Source organism: Homo sapiens, chromosome 5 (genome assembly GCF_000001405.40).
Source record: "Homo sapiens chromosome 5, GRCh38.p14 Primary Assembly".
NCBI lineage: Eukaryota > Metazoa > Chordata > Mammalia > Primates > Hominidae > Homo > Homo sapiens.
In genome coordinates, this window is record NC_000005.10 from 117,564,215 (window position 1) to 117,588,566 (window position 24,352).

At 35.5% G+C, this 24,352-nt stretch overlaps 1 long non-coding RNA gene across 1 annotated transcript in view; it reads left to right on the plus strand.

The window, feature by feature from the left end:
• LINC00992 (long intergenic non-protein coding RNA 992) overlaps positions 1-15,530 on the plus strand; it is a 164,233-nt gene extending 148,703 nt beyond the window's left edge. The window contains exon 6 of the long non-coding RNA NR_046089.1: positions 13,034-15,530. This is a non-coding gene — a long non-coding RNA (long intergenic non-protein coding RNA 992). The remainder of the gene's footprint in view (positions 1-13,033) is intronic.
• Positions 15,531-24,352: the final 8,822 nt, after the last annotated feature.

The window sequence follows — 24,352 nt, forward strand, 5'->3', positions numbered from 1 at the left end:
CTTATTGTGCATGATTAGGTTCTTGACTGTTGAACTTTTTAAATCTAACATATGCATTAAAAATATGTAATTTCCTCTAAGTCTTACTTAAGTGACATATTACCAATTTTGATATGTTGGGTTGTTTATGGTTACTGAGTTCCAAAAATTTTTTAATATATACTGTAATTTTTCATAATCTCATGTTAATGCAAAATATGTTATCTAAGATTTAAATATTTGTTTTATTCCCATGCTTTTATTATTGATTTTTAATTCCAGTATAGTCAGAGATTGGTATTATTTAGATCCTTTTAAAACTGTTGAAATTTATTTTCATGGTTCACAATATGGTTTATTATAAAGAGCATGTATTCTGCTGTTTGTACGTTTTGAATAAATGTCAATTAAGTTCACACCAGTTGATTGTGTTGTTCAGGTCTTCTGTTATACTTTCAGTAAATTTGCTGAATTGTTCTCTCACTTAGAGAGAGTGAAATGTTGAAGTTTCCCACTATAATTATAGATATGTCAAATTTTCTTTACAATTCTGTCATTTTTTGTTTTTGTTTGTTTGTTTGTTTGCTTTTGAGACAGAGTTTCGCTACTGTTGCCCAGGCTGGAGTGCAATGGCATGATATCTGCTCACTGCAACCTCTGCCTCCCGGGTTCAAGCGATTCTCCTGCCTCAGCCCCTCGAGTAGCTGGGATTACAGGCACCCGCCACCATGCCGAGCTAACTTTTTGTATTTTTAGTAGAGATGGAGCGTCACCATGTTGGCCAGGCTGGTCTCGAACTCCTAACCTAAAGCGATCCGCCTGCCCCAGCCTCCCAAAGTGCTGGGATTAAAGGCGTGAGCCACCGCGCCTGGCCTGTTTCATGTAATTTCAATCTATTTTAGTGTTTGTACATCTGTTTATGATTATTTTTCACGGAAAACTGACCCTTTAATAATTGTATAATATCCCTCTTCATCTCTCTAAACACTTTTTTTCTAAAATCTACTTTTTCTTAAATACAGCGACTGTACTAGTTACGGTTAGTGTTTTTATAGTATGTCTCTATTACTCTGTTATTTAACCTACTTGTTTTTTATATTTAAAGTGAGTTTCTTATACACAGTATGCAATTGTCTTGATTTTTTATTTTTTATTTTTATTTCATTTTATTATTATTATTATTATTTGAGATGGAGTCTCGCTCTGTTGCCCAGGCTGGAGTGCGGTGGCACGATCTCGGCTCACTGAAAGCTCCTCCTCCTGGGTTCACGCCATTCTCCTGCCTCAGCCTCCCGAGTAGCTGGGACTACAGGCGCCCGCCACCACGCCCGGCTAATTTTTTGCATTTTTAGTAGAGACGGGGTTTCACCTTGTTAGCCAGGCTGGTCTCCATCTCCTGACCTCGTGATCTGCCTGCCTCGGCCTCCCAAAGTGCTGGGATTATAGGCGTGAGCCACCGTGACTGGCCTATTTTTTATTTTATTCTATTCTATTTTATTTATTTATTTATTTATTTATTTATTTATTTATTTATTTATTTGTCGGAGTCTCGATCTCTAGCCCAAGCTGGAGTGCAATGGCACCATCTCGGCTCACTGTAACCTCTGCCTCCCAGGTTCAAGTGATTCTTCTGCCTGAGCCTCCCCAGTAGCTGGGATTACAGGCACCTGCCATCATGTCCGGCTAATTTTTGTACTTTTGTAGAGACGGGGTTTCACCACGTTGGCCAGGCTGGCCTGAAAACTCCTGACCTTAGGTGATCTGCCTGCCTGGGCCTCCCAAAGTGCTGGGATTACAGGCATGAGCCACCTCACCTGGCCTGAGTCTTGATTTTTTGAGTGGTCTGCGAATGTACGTTTTTTAGTTGGAGTGTTTAGTTTAGTGTTAAAATTGCATTTACATTAAATGCAATTTTCAATGGTGTTGAAATCCACCATTATAGCATCTGTTTTCTCCCTTCCCATCTGACGCTGTTCACTTTCACCTCCATCTTCTTGGATCGAAGATATTTTAAATAATTCAATTTATATTCACAATTAAATTACTGAGTATACACTTTTATTCTTAAGTGCTTTTCTAGTGCTTATGATACACATCTTAAATTTATCTCATTATAACCCCAGATATTGTATCAACATGCTTAAAATGAGGGAAATTACAACAATACATTTACACTTACCCCCTCCAATTTTTGTGCTTTTTGTGCTGTTACAGCCACAAATTTTAATTTTTCAAATATTATAAGCATCACAGTACATTATTTTGTTGTTTGTAGTGCTATTTGTTTTAGTTCATAATCTTTTAAAGATATTTTAACATGAGCATTAAATTATTTTATATTTAGAAACTTTTTTGTTTTTTGTTCAGTGCTTTGCATAGATCTGAGTTTCTATTTGTTATCATTTTCTTCTGCTTCAAAAATTTCTAAAACATCTATTGTATCGATCTGCTGATGACAAATTTAATTAGGTTGTCTGAAAATGTGTTTATTTTTTCATTGAATTCTAGATTTGAAGATTTAGCTCCTTATTTGCCACCTTAAAGTCATGTCATTGCCTTTATGGCATTCATAGTTTCAGACAAGCTATATATTGTAATTCTTAACTTATTTCTGTGAAGGTAGCAAGTATTCCTTGCCTTCCTTTTGATTTCTTTTTATTTTCTTATCTGGTTTTCAGTTACTTAACCATGATATGACATGATGTGATTATCTTTGAAGGAATAACTTTAAAATTTTTAAATTAAAAATATATATCTATGCATTCAAAAAGCTAAATATTAAACTACTTGATATTATAGCAGACTATCCTAGAGCTCTTTTTATTTTTTAACCTTTATATTTATCTCTGTGATTTTTTTGTTTAGTTGAACATTGCTATGTCTTCAAGTTCACTGATCATTTTTACAGGTTTCTAGTATGATGATAATAAATTATGTATTATTTTTAAATATTAGCTATTGCTATTCACAATTGCAAACACATGGAATCAACACAAATGCTCATCAATGATAGCCTGGATAAAGAAAATGTGGTACATATACACCATGGAATACTATGCAACCATAAAAAGCAATGAGATCATGTCCTTTACAGGGACACGGATGGAATTGGAAGCCATTATCCTCAGCAAACTCATGCAGGAACAGAAAACCAAACACCACATGTTTTCACTTATAAGCGGGAGCTGAATAAGAGCTGAATAAGGAGAACACATGGACACAGGGAGTGGAACAACACACACTGGGGCCTGTTGGGTGATGGAGTTGGTCAGGAGAGAGCATTAGGAAAAATAGCTAATGCATGCTGAGCTTAATACCTAGATGATGGGTTGATAGGTGCAGCAAACCATCCTGGCACACGTTCATCTATGTAACAAACCTGCACATCCTGCACATGTACCTGGCACTTAAAATTAAAATTAATAAAAAAAGAAAAAAGAAAGATGGGTGGGAGCATAAACTGAAGAATTCAAGCAGCCTTTACAAACTATAAAATGCAAGGAAATGGTTCCTACTTAAAGCCTCAAGAAAAGAAGGAATACTTATTCATTTCTTCCTGCAATTTTAAGCTAATACATAGCATCATTTTCCTTTTACAGAAAATATTTTCTTTATACAGTCATCCTTCAGTGTATGTGGGGAACTGGTTCCAAGTACCCTGGATATACCAAAATGCACACCCACTCAAGTCCCACAGTTGACCCTGCAGAACTCACATATATAAAAGGTCGGCCCTCCGTATATGCAGGTTCATAAATACTATATTTTGTACATATACTATACTGCATTTGATTGAAAAAAACACACATGTAAGTGGACCCATGCAGCTCAAACCTATGTTATTCAAGACTCAACTGTAGTAGATATGCTGATCACAGGTTTTCTTTGTTTTTCTATGACTAAAAATGTCTATTTTACATTCAGTTTTGAATTATGCAATAATAAATTATGAAGGTCTAGCTTAATCATTATTTTCTTATAGCTGTTTGAGGATATCACTTTGATGTCATGGTAGAAAAATTGGTGTGCCACCCAAATACTCCCATCAAGAAAGAACTTGTCTTTGTTATCAGCAGACATTCTCCAGCTGTCAGTAACTTCATGATTTGCCTCCAGTACACATAGCTGTCTTTTCAAAATGTGCTGTTTTCGGTCAACTGATAACCAAGGATTGCAGTGGAAATATAAAGACACAGCGCATTAATTGGCCCAACATGGGCTAAATCATAGAGGCCACAGATTTCCATGAGATTAGCCAAGACTTTGCTGTATCTTCATCATAAATTTTCAGTTTTCACTCAAAATCCTACCTCTTTCCTGCTTTATGCTGCAGGTGTTAATCACTAATAAATATCCTGTATGCTAAACCTTGTCTCAGCATCTTCTCTAGAAAACCCAAACTGGGACAGTTGGTATCAAAACTGATTTGAAAAAGCATATGATGAAATAAGAATGTGGAAACTGATTACTCACTGCATACCTAGACATAAGTTATCTGTCACTGATTTTAAGTGGAACACAGACCCAGTGATAGTCCAGTTGTTAAAATTCTGGGAAAAAGAAATACAATAGAATGTGTGATGTAGCTGGCATTTGAGATACACAGAGGGAATAATAACCAACAAGTTTCATTATTTTTCAGTTACTAAGCACCACTGGAATCCTAAAAGAGAAAATGAAAACCGCAAGTGATTAACAGGCAGGTAAAAGCCAAGAGTGGAAATCAGATAACCTCTTTTGTGATTCACTCCTGCTTAGCTTTTACTTGCAGCAGCAGGACAGAGAAAGCTGGGAACCAGGATGAGGCCCAGTGGCTGGGCTCAAAATTGTAGCCCCTACTGCCTGTAGTTGATATCAGAGCCTCAACTGATACTAATTTTTCTTTCATCCACTTTTTAGTTACATTACTTTAGCACTACATCTGCTGGCTGCAGTGGCTCTCCTGGAGACCAGTATCTCTGAAGGTTCTGAGTTCCTGTCTTCATGTCTTCACTCTCAGGCTGGGGTTGCTTCTCTTGCCCACTTACCATCACAATTGGACAAGGGAACCCAAAAAAGTCTAAATGGATTACTAGGATTTTGCACAAATTTCTCCCCGGCCCCATTCCCTGTAACATGGGTACCTCCTCATGAAGATCACTGTAACATAGTCCTGTCAGCCAGATTGGTTACTTTTTTTTGTTGTTGTTGTTTTGTTTTGTTTTTTGACTGCTGGTCTCTGATCCAAAAGCAAGAAAAGGGCAACGGCAGTTGCTACATCTTATAATTCACTGGGAGTCCTACTATGATTATGGCAACAGTATGTACATGTGTGTACTTGCACTTTTAACCACTTAGAAGCTATAATTTTGGGAAAGAGGAGTATACATTTTCCCAGTGGATCAATGGGTGATGGATAGTAGGGCCACTGCATCTTCCTACCCTTGGCTTTGAGATCTAAATATTAATATTCTTCTCTTTTGATAATAGTATCATCTAAGGGTTGTTGACTTGACGCATATTCTTTATTCTGGAGAATGGGAGTCCATTCCCATAGAATATCATCTTGAAGCCAGTGCTTGAACTGATCCAATACTATATCAGGCTGACAGCTTTTCAGTGGTGTGACATGTGATATTTCTAGTAGGTTCCATGATTACGGTCCCACTCCCATACCCCCTTTGTTGTAAAGTGGGATTTCATTCTTAAAATATGTTATGTGATACCACGTTCTTACAGATCAAACATTCCATACTTTCTTAGTTAGCGGTGCTGCCTCAGGCCACATAGGTAGAAAAGACAATCCCCATATTTAGAATATGCTTTTTTTTCTGTCTGATTAGAACAAATTACAGAATTAATTACGTGGAAACAGGCCAACGTAATCAATTTTCTGTTGTGTAGTCCATTGGTGTCCTCAAGGAATGGTGCCATATTGGGAAATCAGTTCAAGTCTCCACTGCTGGCAGTTTGGATATTTTGTGATAGCAATAGCTACATCAACCTTCTGCCACTGGGCCCATACATAGCCTCTCTTCTTTACTTATGGTCATTCTTTTCATATGTCCATCATGCCAGCATTGGTGTAGGTGTTCCTTGAGGCTGGCTGATGTAAACTGGCTGATTCATTATGTCTACTTGGTGGATTAGTGTCTCATCATGGGTATTCTTTGCTAGGCATTAACATAGGATACAAAGACCTTCAGGTTTTGTTTTACATCCATCCACATTTCCTCTACCACAGAGCACTTTCCCCAATCTTTTAATAATTCTTTCAGACTCTTGATACATCTAGCATAGCAGCTAAAATTGAGCCTACTACTTGGGTGAGTTGGGTTTTACTGTCATCCTTCACCTGAATCTGCAAGGCTTAGAGTGGTGAGTTAAAAATGGCAAATACCCCCACTACTACAGCATTTTGATCTGTGAAGGCAAGGCAACAACTTTTGCCATCTACCCAAAGGTACAATATGGGTAGATTGCAAGAGTTGTTACCTTTGTAACATTGTTTTTATTATGTTAACTAGGGTGACAATGTCAAAACTTCCTCTTTGTCTTTCTTAGTATCATATCCCTTAACATACAGGTCAGGAACCCAACTCTGGTTGCATCTACTGCTGCTCTTCAAACATTCCTCCAGGAACAGAGGATAACCAGAATTCTGAAGAAGCTACTTGCAAAATGTATGTGAAAACTGAATTTGAGCAGAACAAGGATATATTGTTAGGAAAATAAGGCTAGATACCAATACCTACTTCAAGGGAGGACTCATTATCTCAGCTGCCAGAAGACAGCTTCTAGCTGTCTGAAACATCAGAGTTGATTCAGCTACAGAGGACCACTTCACCTAAGGGCCTTCCTTTCCTGCAGCAGCCCATATTCCATGAACAATTGCAGTAAGGAACAGAAAGATCCAGCTATTATGGCAGGACAACTCTCATGGGCCATATATTCTCCCAAATTCCAGTGGGGTTGGCTGAAGCATTTTTAGGGTAGCATTACAGCGTAACTTCTCCCTCTGCCCACTCCGTCTTTCATTTCTATGATATAGGTATGTATTCTTAGTAAATATCGTGTACACCAAACTCTCTTTCACTGTCTGCTTCAGTTGAACCCAAACTTGGACAATTGTCATCTGGTTTTGTTTCTGATAAAAAGTTCAGTATCAGTGTAATATTTTATCCTACGAAGAAAATCTCTTTTCTTCTGATTGATTTCAAGTTTTTCTTTTAAAATTTTAAAAATAATTTTATTAAAAATTTTTGCAAAGATTTGGTAAATTGTTTTTGAATTTTATTTTAATGCTAGAAAAATCTCTGGAACATTCAGGAAGATAATGCAGCATATGTGGAAAATAGAGTTCTCGCCCCTAAAAAGCTATACATTTAATTTGGTTATGTTGTATAAAGCAATGTAATGTTCAAAAATCCCCTTCAAAAGTAGATAAAGTGGTTTTCCTAATGATAACTTACTTTGTAAGGAAAACTATCCATGTTATTATTTTCTCAATGTTTTACTTTGTCTCCAAACTGAAACTCATCCTTAGTGGGATTATCTGCATCTAACCTCAAAGCCCCCAACCAACCCCCTACCATCACTTTAGGATTTCGAGAAGGCTGGATACAGTTCCATGATCCAACTTCAATTATCAAATTTAATCCCTTCTGCTATCCCCCTCCAGTTTTCAATTTGTGATATGGATTTGACTAATTTTTAGATTAAATTGTTATCTCTATAAATTAAGAGGTCAACTAGATAAACACTATAGTCCTTTCTGAGTCTCTATTATTCCATGCAATATATCTCTTGGAAATTCTTAGTTTTATAACAGGGATAATACCTTTCAAAAATTTTTTATTTAAAACATCTATTTCTAAAACAAGGTAAAAAATATTTAAACATGTTTATTATTCAACAGTTTTGCTACAATGATCTTTTTTGTATTTTGCCTCCTAGGTTTTGTAGGCTTCTTAAATATAATATTTGATATCTGTCATTATTTTTAAAATCTGCTAGGTATTATCTCCTCAAATGCCACTTCTCCATTCTTACTGGAATTCCAATTACCTGATATTAGGCTTTACCATTCTCCCAAAAATTTCTTATGTTATTTTCTGTTTGTTTGTTTATTTGTTTGAGACAGAGTTTAGCTCTTGTTACCGAGGCTGGAGTGCAATGGCATGATCTCGGCTCACTGCAACCTCTGCCTCCTGTGTTCAAGCGATTCTCCTGCCTCAGCCTCCTGAGTAGCTGGGATTACAGGTGCCCACCACCACGCCCAGCTAATTTTTGTATTTTTTTTGGAGATGAGGTTTCACCATGTTGGCCAGGCTGGTCTCAAACTCCTGACCTCAGACGATTCACCTGCCTCAGCCTCTCAAAGTGTTGGGATTACAGGCATGAACCACCATGCCAGGCCTCTTCTGTGTGTTTTTAACATTTTTGCCTCACCATTTTTAAGTTAGGTTGTTTGCTTTTTGCCTCTTACTAGTTTTTTAACTAGCTAGTGTTTTTAAACTTGCCATTTGTGTTTTTATTTTGTCAGTGTGTATTTTTTTTTTTATTTTTCTGACCTATACTTGATCCTTCTTTACAATTTCTTATGGTGTGTCAAAATTCTCAATGACAAATAATTTTGGCTCCTGGAGTAACCTGTTCTCAGCTGCTTTTTCTGTTGTCATCATCCCCATTAAGGGATTTCCTGGGGGCAGAATTACAAGATAACAGAAAAAAATGAGAATAAATAAAAATGGGTATTTCACTTATTCTTTCTGAGTTTTCAGCATTTCTTTTTCCACTCCTTAAGTCAGACTAGTAGATTTCTTTTGGATCTTTCTCTGCAGTCTAAAGCTTACTTCCAGTTTTCAAATTATGCTGAGTTGAGGCCAGAGGATACCAGAGGTGGAAAACAAAAGGTAAACACAACACCGTTTCAATGGTACGTTAAATTGTGCCATTCTTTCTTTATCTAGTTCCTTGTATTTAATTTTCAGAGTTCCCAAATAATAACTCCTGTGCATCTATCTAAGTTTCTTTGATGAATTCAGTAAGATATAGAGAGGTGTGTGTTTATCTTACTCAGAATCAGCAGGATCTACCCCAACTTTATCCTCTATTATCTAGAATATAGTGGTCATAGTTATTTTTACATTAATGTCTGACAATTACATTATCTCCATTTCCTATGTTTCTGTTTTATTGTGTATGGCTGCTCTTGGTTTTCATTGCTTTATCTTATCTCTTAGAGTATTTTTATTGTGTTACTGATATTTTATAGAAAAATGTTATACAAATAAATAATGTTATACAAATAAAATGTTGACAAGCTTCTGTCAAGCAGTTAGTAGCAATAATAATCACTGATGATCTTAATTCAACTTCAAGAACTAGATGATTTGAAGATGTGAGGTCCAGTTTATTTCTAATTTGGCCTAATTCCTAAAATGTGGTTTTCACGATTTCAACCCACTGGACTCCCTTATCAGCAGGCCTTGAGTTCCAGTTTTGCCGTGCTAGCCCAGAAGTGCTAACAAAAACTCTATTCAGCTTCTCAGCCTTTTAGAATGTATTAATTATCAAATACACATACCTGGTAGTCTTTAGAGACTAATGGGAAAGGCTTGTGATTTCTTTCTAGTGGGTTTTCTCAACAGCACTCTGAGAAGGTTCTCAGTGAATGTCTGTTATTATTGTTGTTCCTTGCTTTAAGAAATTGTTGGGTCAATATGGCCATGATGACCACTTATTTTGTTAATTAAGAATAATGTCTAGTGTGCAGTATTGCATGCTGTGCTTTCAAGGTCACAGAAATACAGCCTTCAAAATAAAATCTAAGAAAATATAGAAAGAAGAACTTAGCATGGAATTCATGTCATGCATTAGAAGGAATTTATTCTCAATCAATTTAGGAAACATGACTCGCCATGAAAACACAGACTAAAAAATACAAATTAATTAATTATCTATTAAGTGTTAGTCAATACACTAAAAAATGTTCCCCAGAGAACTGTTCCTTGTGGTGGATCTGGATTTGTTCATACTGAACAAAGGCACTTAAACTTGGTCTGAATTTTTAGGTCCTTTTCACACCTTACATGGCCTACTTTGTAAGACACCATTCATTCATGGGTTTGTTCCTTGAATACACATTTATTTAACACATAACTTATTTCAGTCACTTTGAAAGACATTAAATATAAAGACTGTATGTAATAAATGCAGAGCTTGCTCAAAAGGAGTGTTTAACACAATGGACATTGTTATCAGTTCAATGAAAGAGGTATTAAGTGTTATTTTATGCTGCAAAAGCATGTGAGCCATCACATATATAGAAGTGAAAAGAAAAGCAGATAATCTTTCTATTTTAGGTATTAAAAGGTCATTGATTTTTGGGGGGTTGCATACACTAGACACTCAATATATGTTTTAATAACTCACTACAATTTTCCAACTAGTGCTATGATACACAACCATGTTTAAATCTTTAGTTCTAACAAAACAAGTGGAGTGTAGGTTACATGCCTTGCCTGCTTTAATTATTTTTTCTTTCCAACATTCACATAGTACATTGACATCACTGTGGATTCTCATAAATTTTAAAACTATGGCTGTACTGCAAATTTGGATCACAAACTCCTCCAAGAAACACTTAAATAGCTTTCTAATTATATAGAAATTATACACAACTTGTATTATTGCATGATTTTCCTTGACCTGTAATGTTTGAAAGTAGGCGTGAATTGAAATTCTGGGAAAAACATATTCTTTAACTTCAAAGTCCTTCAGGTATGCCTACAGCAGCCCTTCACTCCAGGGACTCTATTGAAAGATTGCATGGGCAATGGAACTGTCAGGAATGTTTGTCTCCTTTAAGCAAAGTTTTGGATTCTATTCACTTGACACATGAACCAAGTAGGTAGAGATCAATCCAGTTGCATCTGAACCACTGGAAGTCTCATTAAATGATACCATTTACTAACCACCTTCTGCCCCATGTTCTACTAACCTAGGGGGATTTCAGAAACATTGCCAAGGTCTCTTCTGTCTAAAAAAGGGAGGGGGGCAGTTATAATTCAGCAGCTTGGGTAGCTTCTTCTTTCATTGTGTGTAATTTATAAAGCCAGACAGTTGATATTTATTGTCTATATTGTGGCTAAACAACAATAAATAGCTTTTCTGAATTACTAATGTCCTTTTCCAGTCCATGCATTATAATACTCAGGGGTCTGTGTTGTTTTATCAAAAGGCAATAAAGATGAGAAGCAGAATCCACTAGCCTCTGCCCCTACCCCGCTAATATGTTGACTTACCTCTGAGTGCTTGTAGACTCTAGCACCCATCATAGGCCAGATATTATGCTGGGCTATGGGAACACAAAGTTGAGTAATACATACTACGGCTTTCAGGTGTGACCCATCTACTGATGGCCTTCCACTGATAGACTCCTTCCAGGAGTTTGCCTCTATCTCCGCCACATTTTTTCATCGAAGATTTAGAGTGCTTCAAATTTTAAGTATTGTATTTAAATCCTTGGGACTGATGGAAAAGTATTTTTCAAGACTATTTATGTTGTTTTAGATAGAACAAGATAGAATAATCTTGCAAGTGTCTGATATAAAAGAGTTTGAGGTCACTGCACCTAAACATTTGTTGTTGTTGTTTTTTAAGAAACAATCATTCTTGTTGCTTAACAAGAATGATTTCTCATAATAGTGACTAGAAAATATACAAAAACAGCTTAAAAATTGAAAGCCTCTGAGTTTACAGTACCTATATGTAGCAAGATTTATTCCTATCAATCAGGAAGATGTTAAAATAAATCTAACAGCACTTCATCCTAAGGAGCAGTTAAGTCAGATCGGTTGGAAAGAGAATTTTCAGGCTAGTAACGCTCTCTACTTTTTTCAAAGGAAGAAATTCAGTGCCCAGGTATTTTTTTAAAATTATTTGTCATCACAAAATTAATGTAAGCTTATTTACTGTAAAATCATGGTGAAAACCCTATAATTTTCCTCAATTAAATGTTTAATGTAGTAAAAGCTGTCTCAATAAAAGAGGTGATCAGTTTGTAAGGCAGCCAATGCAAATAAGAGCTTTGAACTCATTTAGGTTCCTTAACACAATGATAACTTGGGAAGCCTTAGGACTTAAAAAAAAACAAAAAAAAGAGTAGCCACAAGATTGGAGAGTCAGGAAGGCATAGGGTCCCACCACAGGAACTGTATAGGTTTAACCTAAAGAAAAAGAGACTAACAAAGAGAATGGTCTTCAAACTGTTGAAAGATCAACAAATATAAAACGAAGTAGACATATATAAGCCAGCACAGGACCAACTGGTGGAAAATAACAAGGAGAAAACACTTCTGTCCTGCATGAACGTGAGTTTCCTAACAGTTGATGCAGCCCAATTATAAGATGAGCTGCCCTCTGAAAAATACAGCCTCCCACACAGTATATGCTTAAGAAAGGACTATGTGGCTATCAGTCAATAACACTGTAAGAGGGTTTCCAGCAATAACACAGGAGATAGGTTTAGGGGCCTTTCATTAGAAAGTCTATTTCTGCTTCCTCTCTGTGTTTCCCCTCTCTCATTTTCTCTCATTCCAAACATTTAATTTCAGGTGGCTCCACCCCAATAAAGACAAGAGAAATAAGCATTTGGCTTAAGGTAAATGGACAAAAGAATGGTAGGAAGTATTTTTAGCACTTTGTGGAACCTCAGTCCTCTTGAGATGAGAGCCTTGGATACTTTCTTTTCCCAGAGCAGATGAAAACAACAGGCACCAATGTAGCATTTCTATTTGCTTTGCTTTAGGATAATTTATATTTCTTTAGTATAGAGGGCCTAGCACCATCATGCTTGGCTTAAAGCAAACACATTTTCCTGCATCTATACCATGGGAGTATATAGAATTTTTCCAAGAAAACTTCAAAAGAAACTCTTGAATGAATACAAACATATCTGAAATGCTATTTTTACCTCATTGCCTGAACATTGAACAATAATCAAAGCTTATGAAATTCTGCTATACTTGTGTTCACTAATTACCTCCTCCTCTTCAATTTCTAATTTCAGTTGAAGAGTTTCAAAAATAAGAAGAAAAATAGCAGAACAGTATGAGAAGACAGATGGCTCAGCTGATGACAAAATCCATTTGACTTTTACCACATTGGGAGATGGAGAGCTTGATTAATAGTTGGTCAGCCAATGAGACAATTTAACAAGAAAAGCTACTTGGCAAAATATGTCTTAACCAGATACAGCTATGTTATAACTGTTATAACTTAAATGTTTCTTGTGGAATCACCATTTTGCATCAGACCTCTTAAATATGCCTGTTTGAATAAGCTCAAACCAACATAAAACTGTTTCTAGCATTAAGTCCACAACGTAAGCCAATATCAATCTATTTTAACTGCATCTACTGATTAGGTAAAAAAGAAAATGCCATTGAAAACTTCTTAGTGCCTTTCCCTGAATGGCACTATAATCTATTACAATTACCAAAGAGAAAAAAGATCAAAGAACGCCTGCCTATACAAATTATTCTTAGAATACTAGAACTTCAGAGTTGGAAAGAGCCTGAAACTTCTTCTAGCCAATTACCTTTATTTTACAACTGAAATTAATGAGGCGCAGACACATGAAGTGACTTTGCTGAGACCACACAGACTTGGAGGAAAAACTATGTGAGAACATGAATTTCTGGTCTTCTAATTCAATATGCACTATCTTTTTTTTTTTTCCATTTTTTACTATATGCATAGTCAGTTATCTTAGAAATGTTGTTAGGATTATTATGGCTTCTTTTTTAAAGTTGGAGAGGACATTGCCCATTAAATTACATGTGCCTGTGCTTCAGAGTTATCCAAGATCGGAAATTGTATATCTCAAAATAAACATGTGAATAGCATTTTTAAAATGCTGTTTAATAGAACATATCTCTTGTAAAAGCCTGGGGATAACATGATAATATCTGTTAATTTTAACTAGATTAATTTCTTTTTTTTTTTTTTTTTTGAGACGGAGCATTGCTCTATCGCCCAGGCTGTAGTGCAGTGGAATGATCTCGGCTCATCTGGGCTCACTGCAAGCTCCACCTCCAGGGTTGACGCCATTCTCCTACCTCAGCCTCCTGAGTAGCTAGGACTACAGGCGCCCGCCACCACGCCCAGCTAATTGTTTGTATTTTTTAGTAGAGACGGGGTTTCACCATGTTAGCCAGGATGGTCTCCATCTCCTGACTTCGTGATCCACCCGCCTCGGCCTCCCAAAGTGCTGGGATTACAGGCGTGAGCCACCGCACCCGGCCTTAACTGGATTAATTTCTAAATAATAATTTGGAAGGGGGGATAATTTTTATATCATTGATTTACTTGTTATTATTGACCAGATTTTTGGTAACCTTTAGTTTTGTGAACCCATCATAATATTATAAGGAAAATAGCCAAGAGGAGCAATGACTTTAGAGCAGATGACCCCTTGAGCTAAACCTTTCAAGGGAAATAAATCACAAAAAAAATTATAGCAACTTTAGCTTCAACTTGAGAATACATGCTCAAAATATTATGGCTGTGGTTATTACACAATGATATATTATGTGAGTGATTTCCTAGGGAACCTTCTCTTCATCTTGTTATTATTTTTTGACCATACTGGTTTATTTATACAATTTTATACTAGATGCTTCTCTCATTTCCTTGATAACACAGCTGCACACACACACACACAAATGTCTGTCTATTGCTGAACAATGTTAAGTAATATAATTTGACACATGTACATTGCAAATCAATAAATGTGACATTTTCTTTTCCTGGTACATTCTGTATAACTTATAACACAGCTTCGGGTATATGATATGCCAAGTCATATCTTCTGTATTATATCAACTGAATAAAGGAAAAGGCTGATATAATTTAATTTCTTAGGGTAGATTACTTTTGTCTCCACTTAAAAACTGCCTCTCATGTTTTGAATTAAAAGTTGTTTGTCAAATTGGATATACCAAATCATTGCATTCCTAGCTGTCTATATTAAAGACATTTAAACATTGTATATATAATTACTACATATACATTAATAATATATAATGTATGTATACACATCATATATATAATTAATATGAGAGAAACCGTTGATCATCTTTTTATAGTCCCTAGACTGTGACAAAAAATGTTAAATATATATTTTCTGAGTGTATATCTAATAGTCACATGAATGTGACATACTCCATAAGTCATCAAATGATAGTATTGTTTTGTGATTTTTTACTGTATGTAAAGTTATCACTTCCAAAAAAATCTGCATAATATTATTGAATTCTAGTTGATCCAATGCATGCAGAAATATTTGGAGGTAAATTGTACTAATTTAAGCAAACTTTTTAAAAATTCATCAAAGTAAACATGGATGTAAATATAGACAGAGAGTTGCATAGACGGATATGTGATAAAGCAAATATAACCAAATAATAATGTAGAATTTATAAAATCAGTAAATGGGTGTTAATTGCACTATTATTTTGATATGTCTGTATAGTTGAAATTTACATAAAAATACTGGAAAAACATAGATATGTCCAAGTTGTGGCTTACTACTTGAGATATTCCTTCAAATTTCTCTAATCTCATAGATTATTTTACAGTTTCAGTATAAACAACTCAAATTTTATGAGAAATTACTTGTGACTTAAACAGTTTTTAAATTTAATAATTATGGCCTCAGAAATGAATGACACTGTACTTTAGATCAGGTGCTTTCAATATTACCCTGTCTCTAAACACTGGTTTCAAAGTACAAGCTATCGATAATTAAAGAACTCTAATAGGCAGGTCAGCTCATCTCATTAGCTGGGAATACAGTATGCATGCAACTCATCTTGACAGCCTTCAAGGAAGTCAGAGCTGGTAACAATCACTCTTGAACATTATATCCACTGCCTTGTGGAATGCTGGCATCTCAGTTGTGCACTGGTTATGGTTCTTAAGCAGATCTGTTGTCCCTCTCTGGCAACCCCTTGGCCTACCTTCAGTGGCAGTGCAGTGGTCTGCCACCTAAGTAAGAACATCTGTCAGATCCTTAAACTCTCATAGTGAATGTCAATCCAACCATTTATAGATTATGGGAATTTTCCATCAATTAACATCAATAAAGCAAGTGCTACTCAACTTGTAAATATTTAATAAATGCCTTTTATGTCAAGCCTTGTGCGAGGCTCTGAACATAACAAAGATGAAAAAACTACCATGGGATATTGTTTTCATGAGAGACTTAACAAAAACTGTTGGCCACTTAGCTCCTATCTAAATTAATGTTTTTTTAAGAAAGTCACTCTAAGGCAAAGTCATCTACTCTATGGGACTCTCAGGTTTTAATTTAAATTATCAAGTGAGACCATCAGATAGCCATATATCTGCATCACATATGACATTTTAATATTAAACTTTCAGATTCAAGGGAAATAAAAGAACAACAACAACAAAAATCACTTCTGTCTTGATACTAAATCTGATTTAAAAGGCATGGTATATACATGTTCCCTGTAAGGTCAATAATCAATTAATTTTATAATTAAACACTAAAAAAATTGACTTCAGATAAAATTTGATACACCACTTCTATAAGACAATGAAAAATATGTAATCTCTTTTTACCCAGATTTCCAAGAAGTTCATAGTGAAATTAAATGTTTAATAGCTGTAACTATATTGTTTTTCTACTTCTGTTTTACTAGGCATAATATATGAGAGTTTAAAAGATGTCAAATCACTTTTAGGAAGAGGAAGATCATACAGATACCTACAATATTAGTCATGTGCATCAAATGCAGATGTGTCGCCCAATGTAGTTTAAATGATTTTAAATGAAGTTGTTGAGCTGTATTGTAATTTATTGCATTAAGAATGTTACCCTATACTTTCTGACTACAGTGTTACTTTCTCATGATCTAAAAGCCAAGACAAAATATGCACTGAAAATCTATTAAAGTTTTAAAATAAATCATTAAAATCATTTTAACAGGCAGAAAATTATATCTGTGTAAGAATTCTGAAGTCAACATAGGGTCACTTCATATTTATCAGTGAATGATGAGATGGCATTTATTTTCCCCTCACTGTGTATCTTGTAGAAAGTTGGAAAATTAGCTGCACTTCTTCTGATAACAGGTCCAGGAAATGAGATTTGAAAAGAACTAGAAGCATTTTCTGTGACAAACAGAGAGCTTCCTAATTCATTTTAGCAGCATCCTTGTTATTCATCTTCAGGCTATTATATAGTCTCTTGTGAGCCAGGGATAGGGCTATGGAAGAGAGGGAACAGGAGAGACAGAAAGAGAGAAAGAGAAGAGAGAAAGGAGGAAAAGAAGAGGAGGAGGAAAGGGAAAAGGAGAAAGAATTTTAAAGCGTTTATACTTTCATACCTTTTATTCAAATCTATGCATCTCATATACCAAAAAAATGCTGGGATTGCTAAGAAAATAATGTGAAGTGCAACACTCCAGGTCCCTCAGAAAATTTAGTCTTCCTTAAAATTATTATTATTATTGACTAAATATCAATTACATATAATAATTTCTGAAAACAGTACTTATTGATTGAGAACTGTAGGGCAGTCTCTCCCTCAGGTAGGTTTTGTACAGCTTATAGAATATGTTTCATTATGGTATTGAAATATTTTCATTCTCCCCAAAGGTCTTTTGTTAAATATTTAATCACTGAGGCAGTCCTAAATAGTCTTGTATCTCAGGGAGTGAAAGCCAATATAATGCTCCATTAAGTTTATACAAGTAATTGATCTATATTATCAGTCAATTATAAATGACTTACTTTCATCCATGCGTATTACTCTGGAAAATGTGAGATAGAGTTCACCTGTTTTATTCCATATTTCATAAATTTCCAAAACATAATACTTTTTTTTTCCTTTTTAAACATTTTTATTTCAATAGTTTTTGGGGAACAGGTGGTGTTTTGTTACATGGCTAAGTTCCTTACTGGTAATTTCTGAGATTTTGGTGCACCTGTCACTTGAGCAGTGTACACTGTACCCAATATATAGTCAGTTATCCCTCACCTCCCTCCCACTCTTCTCCCGATCCCAAAGTCCATCATATCATTCTTATACCTTTGTGTCCTCATAGCTTAGTTCCCACTTATAAGTGAGAAAATACAATATTTGGTTCTCTATTCCTGAGTTACTTCACTTAGAATAATGATCTCCAACTCCATCCAGGTTGCTGCGAATGCCATTATTTTGTCCCTTTTTGTGGCTGAATAGCATTCTATGGTGTATATATGCCAATTTTTTTTGCCCACTAGGTGATTGGTGGGCATTTAGGCTGGTTCCATATTTTTGCAATTGCAAATTGTGCTGCTCTAAACATAGGTTTGCAAGCATCTTTTGCATATAATGGATGTCTTTTGTTTTTATACATTTATTCTTTTTAACAAAAGGCTGTGGTTTTCTCTTCACACTTCTCTTCATAGCATAAGATATCATCAGTGAATCTTTCTGCATTGGAGGAAATTCAATGGTTTGTGAACAAAAGTCTTTGGCCTGTCTTCATCTGGGCAGGAGCATGACGATATGCAAATATCCATTTGAACAGATCTGTGATGCAAAAGAGGGGTAGTGCTAAGTCTTGTACTAAACGGAGCATGACTTGATATAGTTAGGTTTTCTCTCCCCACCTGAATCTCATCTTGAATTGTAATCTACATAATCCTCATCATGTCCATGTGTGAAGGGAGAGACCAGGTGCAGGTAATTGAATCATTGGGATGGTTTCCCCCATGCTGTTCTCGTGATAGTGAGTGAGTTCTAACGAGATCTGAGGTTTTATAAGTGGTTCTTTCCCCCTCGCTCAGCAAGTCTCCTTCCTGCCATCTTGAGAAGAAGGTGTCTTGCTTCTCCTTTATCTCCTGCCGTAATTGTAAGTTTCCTGAGGCCTCCCCAGCCATGCTGAAATGTGAGTCAATTAAACCTCTTTCCTTTATAAATTACCCAGTCTTGGGTATTTCCTTATAGTAATGTGAGGACGGACCGATAGTACAACTCATACAAGTAATCTCAGAAGGGATGAGACCTGAGAAGTGTCAGTGGGGCAGAATATCTGCTTTGTAATCTGAACATTGTAGGGAGGGATGTGATCAAGTGAATTTGTTAAGTGGCAGCATGATGCCCCATTTCTCTATGTCTCCACTATTCATGGCTTGTACCATCTCTGTCAATTGTGTATAGACACTGAAACATTGCATACTACTCTGTAAGCTAAGTTCCCTACCCTGGGTACTTCCAAGCCTATGAACTCATTTGCTAACCAAGAACAAGAGTCGCCCACCTCGAAGTGGTTTTAGAGATGAAATTTATATCATACTGAAGAGGAGTCAGGTGGTTTTAGAATCACTGTTTGGACCTTGAAATAGAAATGCTTATTCATAATTAAGAGCTTTAAAAGAAGCAGCAGCAGCAGCTGAAGACTTTTAAATCTTCTTTCCCAGTCATTCACTATGAAATCTAACTCCATTCCTGGAGCGCAAATTGATGGCATTTAGGACTTTAGTGTTTTCCAGGTATCAATAAATCCCTGCTAGTGTCTCTTAGTTTTTCTAATAGCCAGGAGGACCAGTAATAAAGTACAATAAAAGGTTTTAGTAAAAGAAGTAACATTTCCTCATATCATTAAGATACGTTTTAGGCATTCTTTTAAAATCTATTATTTGAGTAGCCCATATTTTTTACAATTAATTTTTAACCATTTTATTATGAAACGCTACACTACAAATTAATAACTCGTCATAATGCTAAATGATGAGTTAATGAGTGCAGCACACCAGCATGGCACATGTATACATATGTAACTAACCTGCACATTGTGCACATGTACCCTAAACCTTAAAGTATAATAATAATTAAAAAAAAACAAGAAAAAGAAAAAAATAAATAATTTTTAGTGTGCTATAATCATACGAAGGGATATTATATATCAATGACAATAAACAGTTACATGCAACATTATGGACAATTTCACAAAGATAACATGTAGCAAACTAAGCTAGACTTAAAAGAATACATGCTGTATGGTTCCATTTAAATTAAGCCCTAAAAATAATAAAGCTGAACTTTAGTTTTTAGCAACATGATTAGGTGATGAAATTATAAACAAAAGGAAGCAATTATTAGTGAGGTGGGACATGTACTAATGATTGATTAGAGGTTTGAGGGGTATTCTGCTATCTTACCAGTGTCTGATTACATGATACTGTTGGTGATAAAAGGTGACGGATTTGTCACAAACAAGGAGCTATTCATTTTGTTTAACATAATACTTAATCTCACAATCACTAGCTCTGTGTTCACAAGTGCCATATTATTTGTATCAAGGCATTATTAGTGAATAACCTTTGGTTCTAATATTGTAGCAGTTTACACTTTTTCTCCATTCAGTCCATCTCTGTTCACTCATGCTTTCCTTAAGTGGACATTTTTAATATTGGAAGATCCACCATTCCTTTCAAATTATTATTTTTAGTGTGTTCAGGAAATCAATATCAAGTGATAATTACTGCCAAATAGTTCTCTCGTAAATATTTAAATTATTTGATGACTGCCCAGGTAGAGAATAGGGTATTTTATTGTTGTTAAAAGTGAGACACACAGGAGAATATGTTTGGGCAATGGATCATGAGGTCAAGAGATCAAGACCATCCTGGCAAACATGGTGAAACTATGTCTCTACTAAAAATACAAAAATTAGCTGGGTGTGGTGGCGCACGCCTGTAGTCCCAGCTACTCGGGAGGCTGAGGCAGGAGAATCACTTGAACCCAGGAGGCGGAGGTTGCAGTGAGGTGAGATTGTGCCACTGTACTCCAGCCCGGCAACAAAGTGAGACTCCGTCTCAAAAAAAAAAAAAAAAAAAAAAGTAAAAAACAGTTTCAGCATTTGTGCTTAATGCCAAGCTATTCTTTCAGGAATTTCATTTGACATGTTGTTGATAAATCAGTGGTTCTGTTCCTATGAACAATAGCAAACACACCTAATCACTATGTGCTAGTCACTATATGTATGCATATATATATACACACACTAGTTACTATATGTATACATATATATATATATACAAACATATATACACATACAATATATTAACTCAGTTTAGCAAATAATTTATTAGGTGAGTACTATTGTTATCTCCATTTTACAATGGAGGAAAGTGAGGCACAGAGCAATTAAATAACTTAATAATTTAGTGGTAACACATGAACACAGAATCATGGTCTAAATTCTCTTGAAGGACAATTGAGTTTAAGATGCCCACCATTTTAAAATCAAAATACTGAAAAACAAACTGTACTTCTGTTTTTAGAAAATGTTTGAATATCTAATGCTTCCTATTTCACAATTTAGCTCATTTATTCTTGTCTACTCCTGAAGCTATTGCAAAGTTAATTTCTAGCTTTTACATTTTATTCCTAAATAATCTAGCTGTTGTGGTTTTAACAAATACAAAGATTTTTTAAAGTAAAATATATTGAGTACATTTAAGGTATACAACATAATGTGATAAGATACATGTATATATAGCAAAATGATAATTATCATGGAACAAATGAACATATCCATCATCTCACATACTTACCCATCTCCATCCCCCATTGCAAGAGCAGCTATAATCTACTCATTTGCCAACTCTCCTGAATACAAGACATTTTTATTAACTATAGTCCTTATGTTGTATGAAGGATGAACGAGTCGAAAGATCTAATGTACAGACACTTGAAGAAATCCTATGTTCTAATGAATTCAATTAATTAAATTTGTACGATATATAAGACATGACATTTTCATGAATCAAAACAAACAACATGGTCTCTGCCTTCAATGAGCTAATATTCCAGAAGGGAGAAAATTGTAAGAAGCAGGAACCTTGGGAGATAAATTATTATTGTGAAGTCAGATCATAGAAGTAGTTGCTCACAACAATGAATTCAAGTCAGAAAATAAGCAATGAAAGGGGTACAATCTCATGTAATATACATTGTGAATTTTTAACTAAAGAAAGAAAACAAACCTTTCTGTGCTCCACAATGTGGTTCCTTATGCACTACCATCATCATAAATGGCACTGAGAAGAGAGTCAAGGTAACCGCTGAGAATTTTCAGTAAGACTTACCAATGAAGAAGGAAGCAGAAAGACTAGGTATGAAGGCAGCATGAGAAGCCCATTTACTGAGGCACGATTTCAGAGGAGGTTCGTCAGAGGCTATTTTACAAGGTTCTTCATTACATTGGGTGAAGAGCTAAGGGTTAGACAAAGGGGATACTCCCCTACCTGAATGGAGTTGACCCTGGCAGTAAAGTCTGAGGTTGGAAAGCATGGTTTAGGACTCCAGCAAAGGCTGCCTAGGGCACCAGTCAAGCTCTCCTTCTTGAATCCGTCTTTTATCTTCAGACTACAGAAAAGCAGATAGAATAAATGAAGGTTTGTGGTAGAAGACAAACATGTATCAAAAAGCACTAAAGGGGCCAGGGAGTGTGCAAATGCACTAAATCAATTAGAAGTTCCATTCATAGAACCACAAAGAGACAAAAAGACATGATATGGCAGCTATGCCAAACACATAAGTAATAAGAATAATAGAAAAGAATATTATACAAACAGAAAACAAGGAATAATCAATTTGGAAGAAATTTAAGGCAAGGAACAAAAGAAAAAATCTCTATAGTATTTCTGTGTAATTTATCCTGTGGAATATTTTAATAAGATTATGAATTAAACAGGTCAATAAATGAAGAACAAGATAATAAAACAACAGACCGATGTGGTTGGAAACTAAAACTGAAAATAGTTTCATTGTAAGACTAAGGGGAAGAAAAGGAAATCATATATGAAAATTATATGAAGGGCTTGAGTTAATCACCTTATAAGCAGAGAACAAATTCAGAGATTTTTAGTAATCATGAGAAGGTGATAGATATGGAAACAGTCAACGATGACCCTGAGTAAAGATAATTGGTGACCCCTAAGGAAAAAAAATTCATTATAATGAAATGGCAGACAATTTTCCTGGAATAAAGGAAGGACTTAATATCCATTTCAAAGGAGTGCATTCAGTTACAAGAATGATACTACAATGGACACTGAGACATAGCCTGGTTAAGTTACTGAATTTCAAAGGTGTAAAAAACATTCCTTAGATATGCAAGCAGACAAAAAGCAAGTCACTTTTGTGGGTGAAAATTTCAAGCTGACCTCTACAACAATATTGAATTTCAGAAAACAGTAAAGCAATTTGTGTAAAGTGGTTGAGGAAAAGGTAAACCTAGAATGTGATGTTCAGCCAAGTTTTTGCTCAACTACATTACAACCACAAACAGACATTCTCATACATAAACTCAGCTGATCAATTTCCTCTTCTTAGTTGTTTTGCTAATGGGCTCCAATCTCTCACGGAGGTCACTTGTATGTGGGAAGATGCTGCTGTCATTCCCAAATACATAGCAACAGTAGATATAGGATTAGAAACAAGAAATGTTCAGAAAATTATACCACAATGGTTTTTAAAGTGTGGTCCTCTGACCAGAAGAATTAGTATCACCTGGAAACTTGTTACAAAAGTAAAATCTTAGACACCACCATCAAGACGTACTGAATCAGAAACTCAGGGGACGGGGTCCAGATATCTTTATTTTAGTAAGTGTTCCAGGTAATTCTCATGTACACTAAAGTTTAAGAACATTAGTGCTAGTGTATTCCTTTTACAGGTAGATGTTAACACTCAAGGATCAACATCCAAGAAGCGTCTAGACTGCCCAGGATTAGGATTTCAACAGCAGTCCTGAGTCTAGAGGGCCAAATACAACACACACAAACTCTGGGGCCAAGGCTATGTGCTGAGCTGTGTGCTGAGTTATTCCTGCAAGTATTGATCGACTTCCCCTCCTGCCTGTGAATGATTACATGTATTGAATGGAATTGGCCATTTAAAAAACAGCTTGCCATGACCAATTAAGTCCAAAGTCTTTATGAAAAACAACTGAGGAAACAGATGGCATATAAATTTGGAAATAGGTAACATGAGGGTGTAGAAAGAATGACAGAAAATGGCAAACAAGCACAGAATCACATGGGGATTATTATGGCTGTTGGGGCGATTGAAATCAGCCTTGAAATGAGCCAACATTCTGAAAGGAGCCCTTGTTACAGGTGTGATGTAGGCCAGCTGGTCTCCAAAGTCAGGGGTGCTTTCATCTGGGAAATACAAAAGTCAAATACTGCAGGTATGGAAAGAAAATATCGGGACTTTATATCCTTTAAAAATGCATTATTTGAGTGCATGATTTATAAACTACAAATTAGTACATTATAGAATAGATAAATATGCATTGAA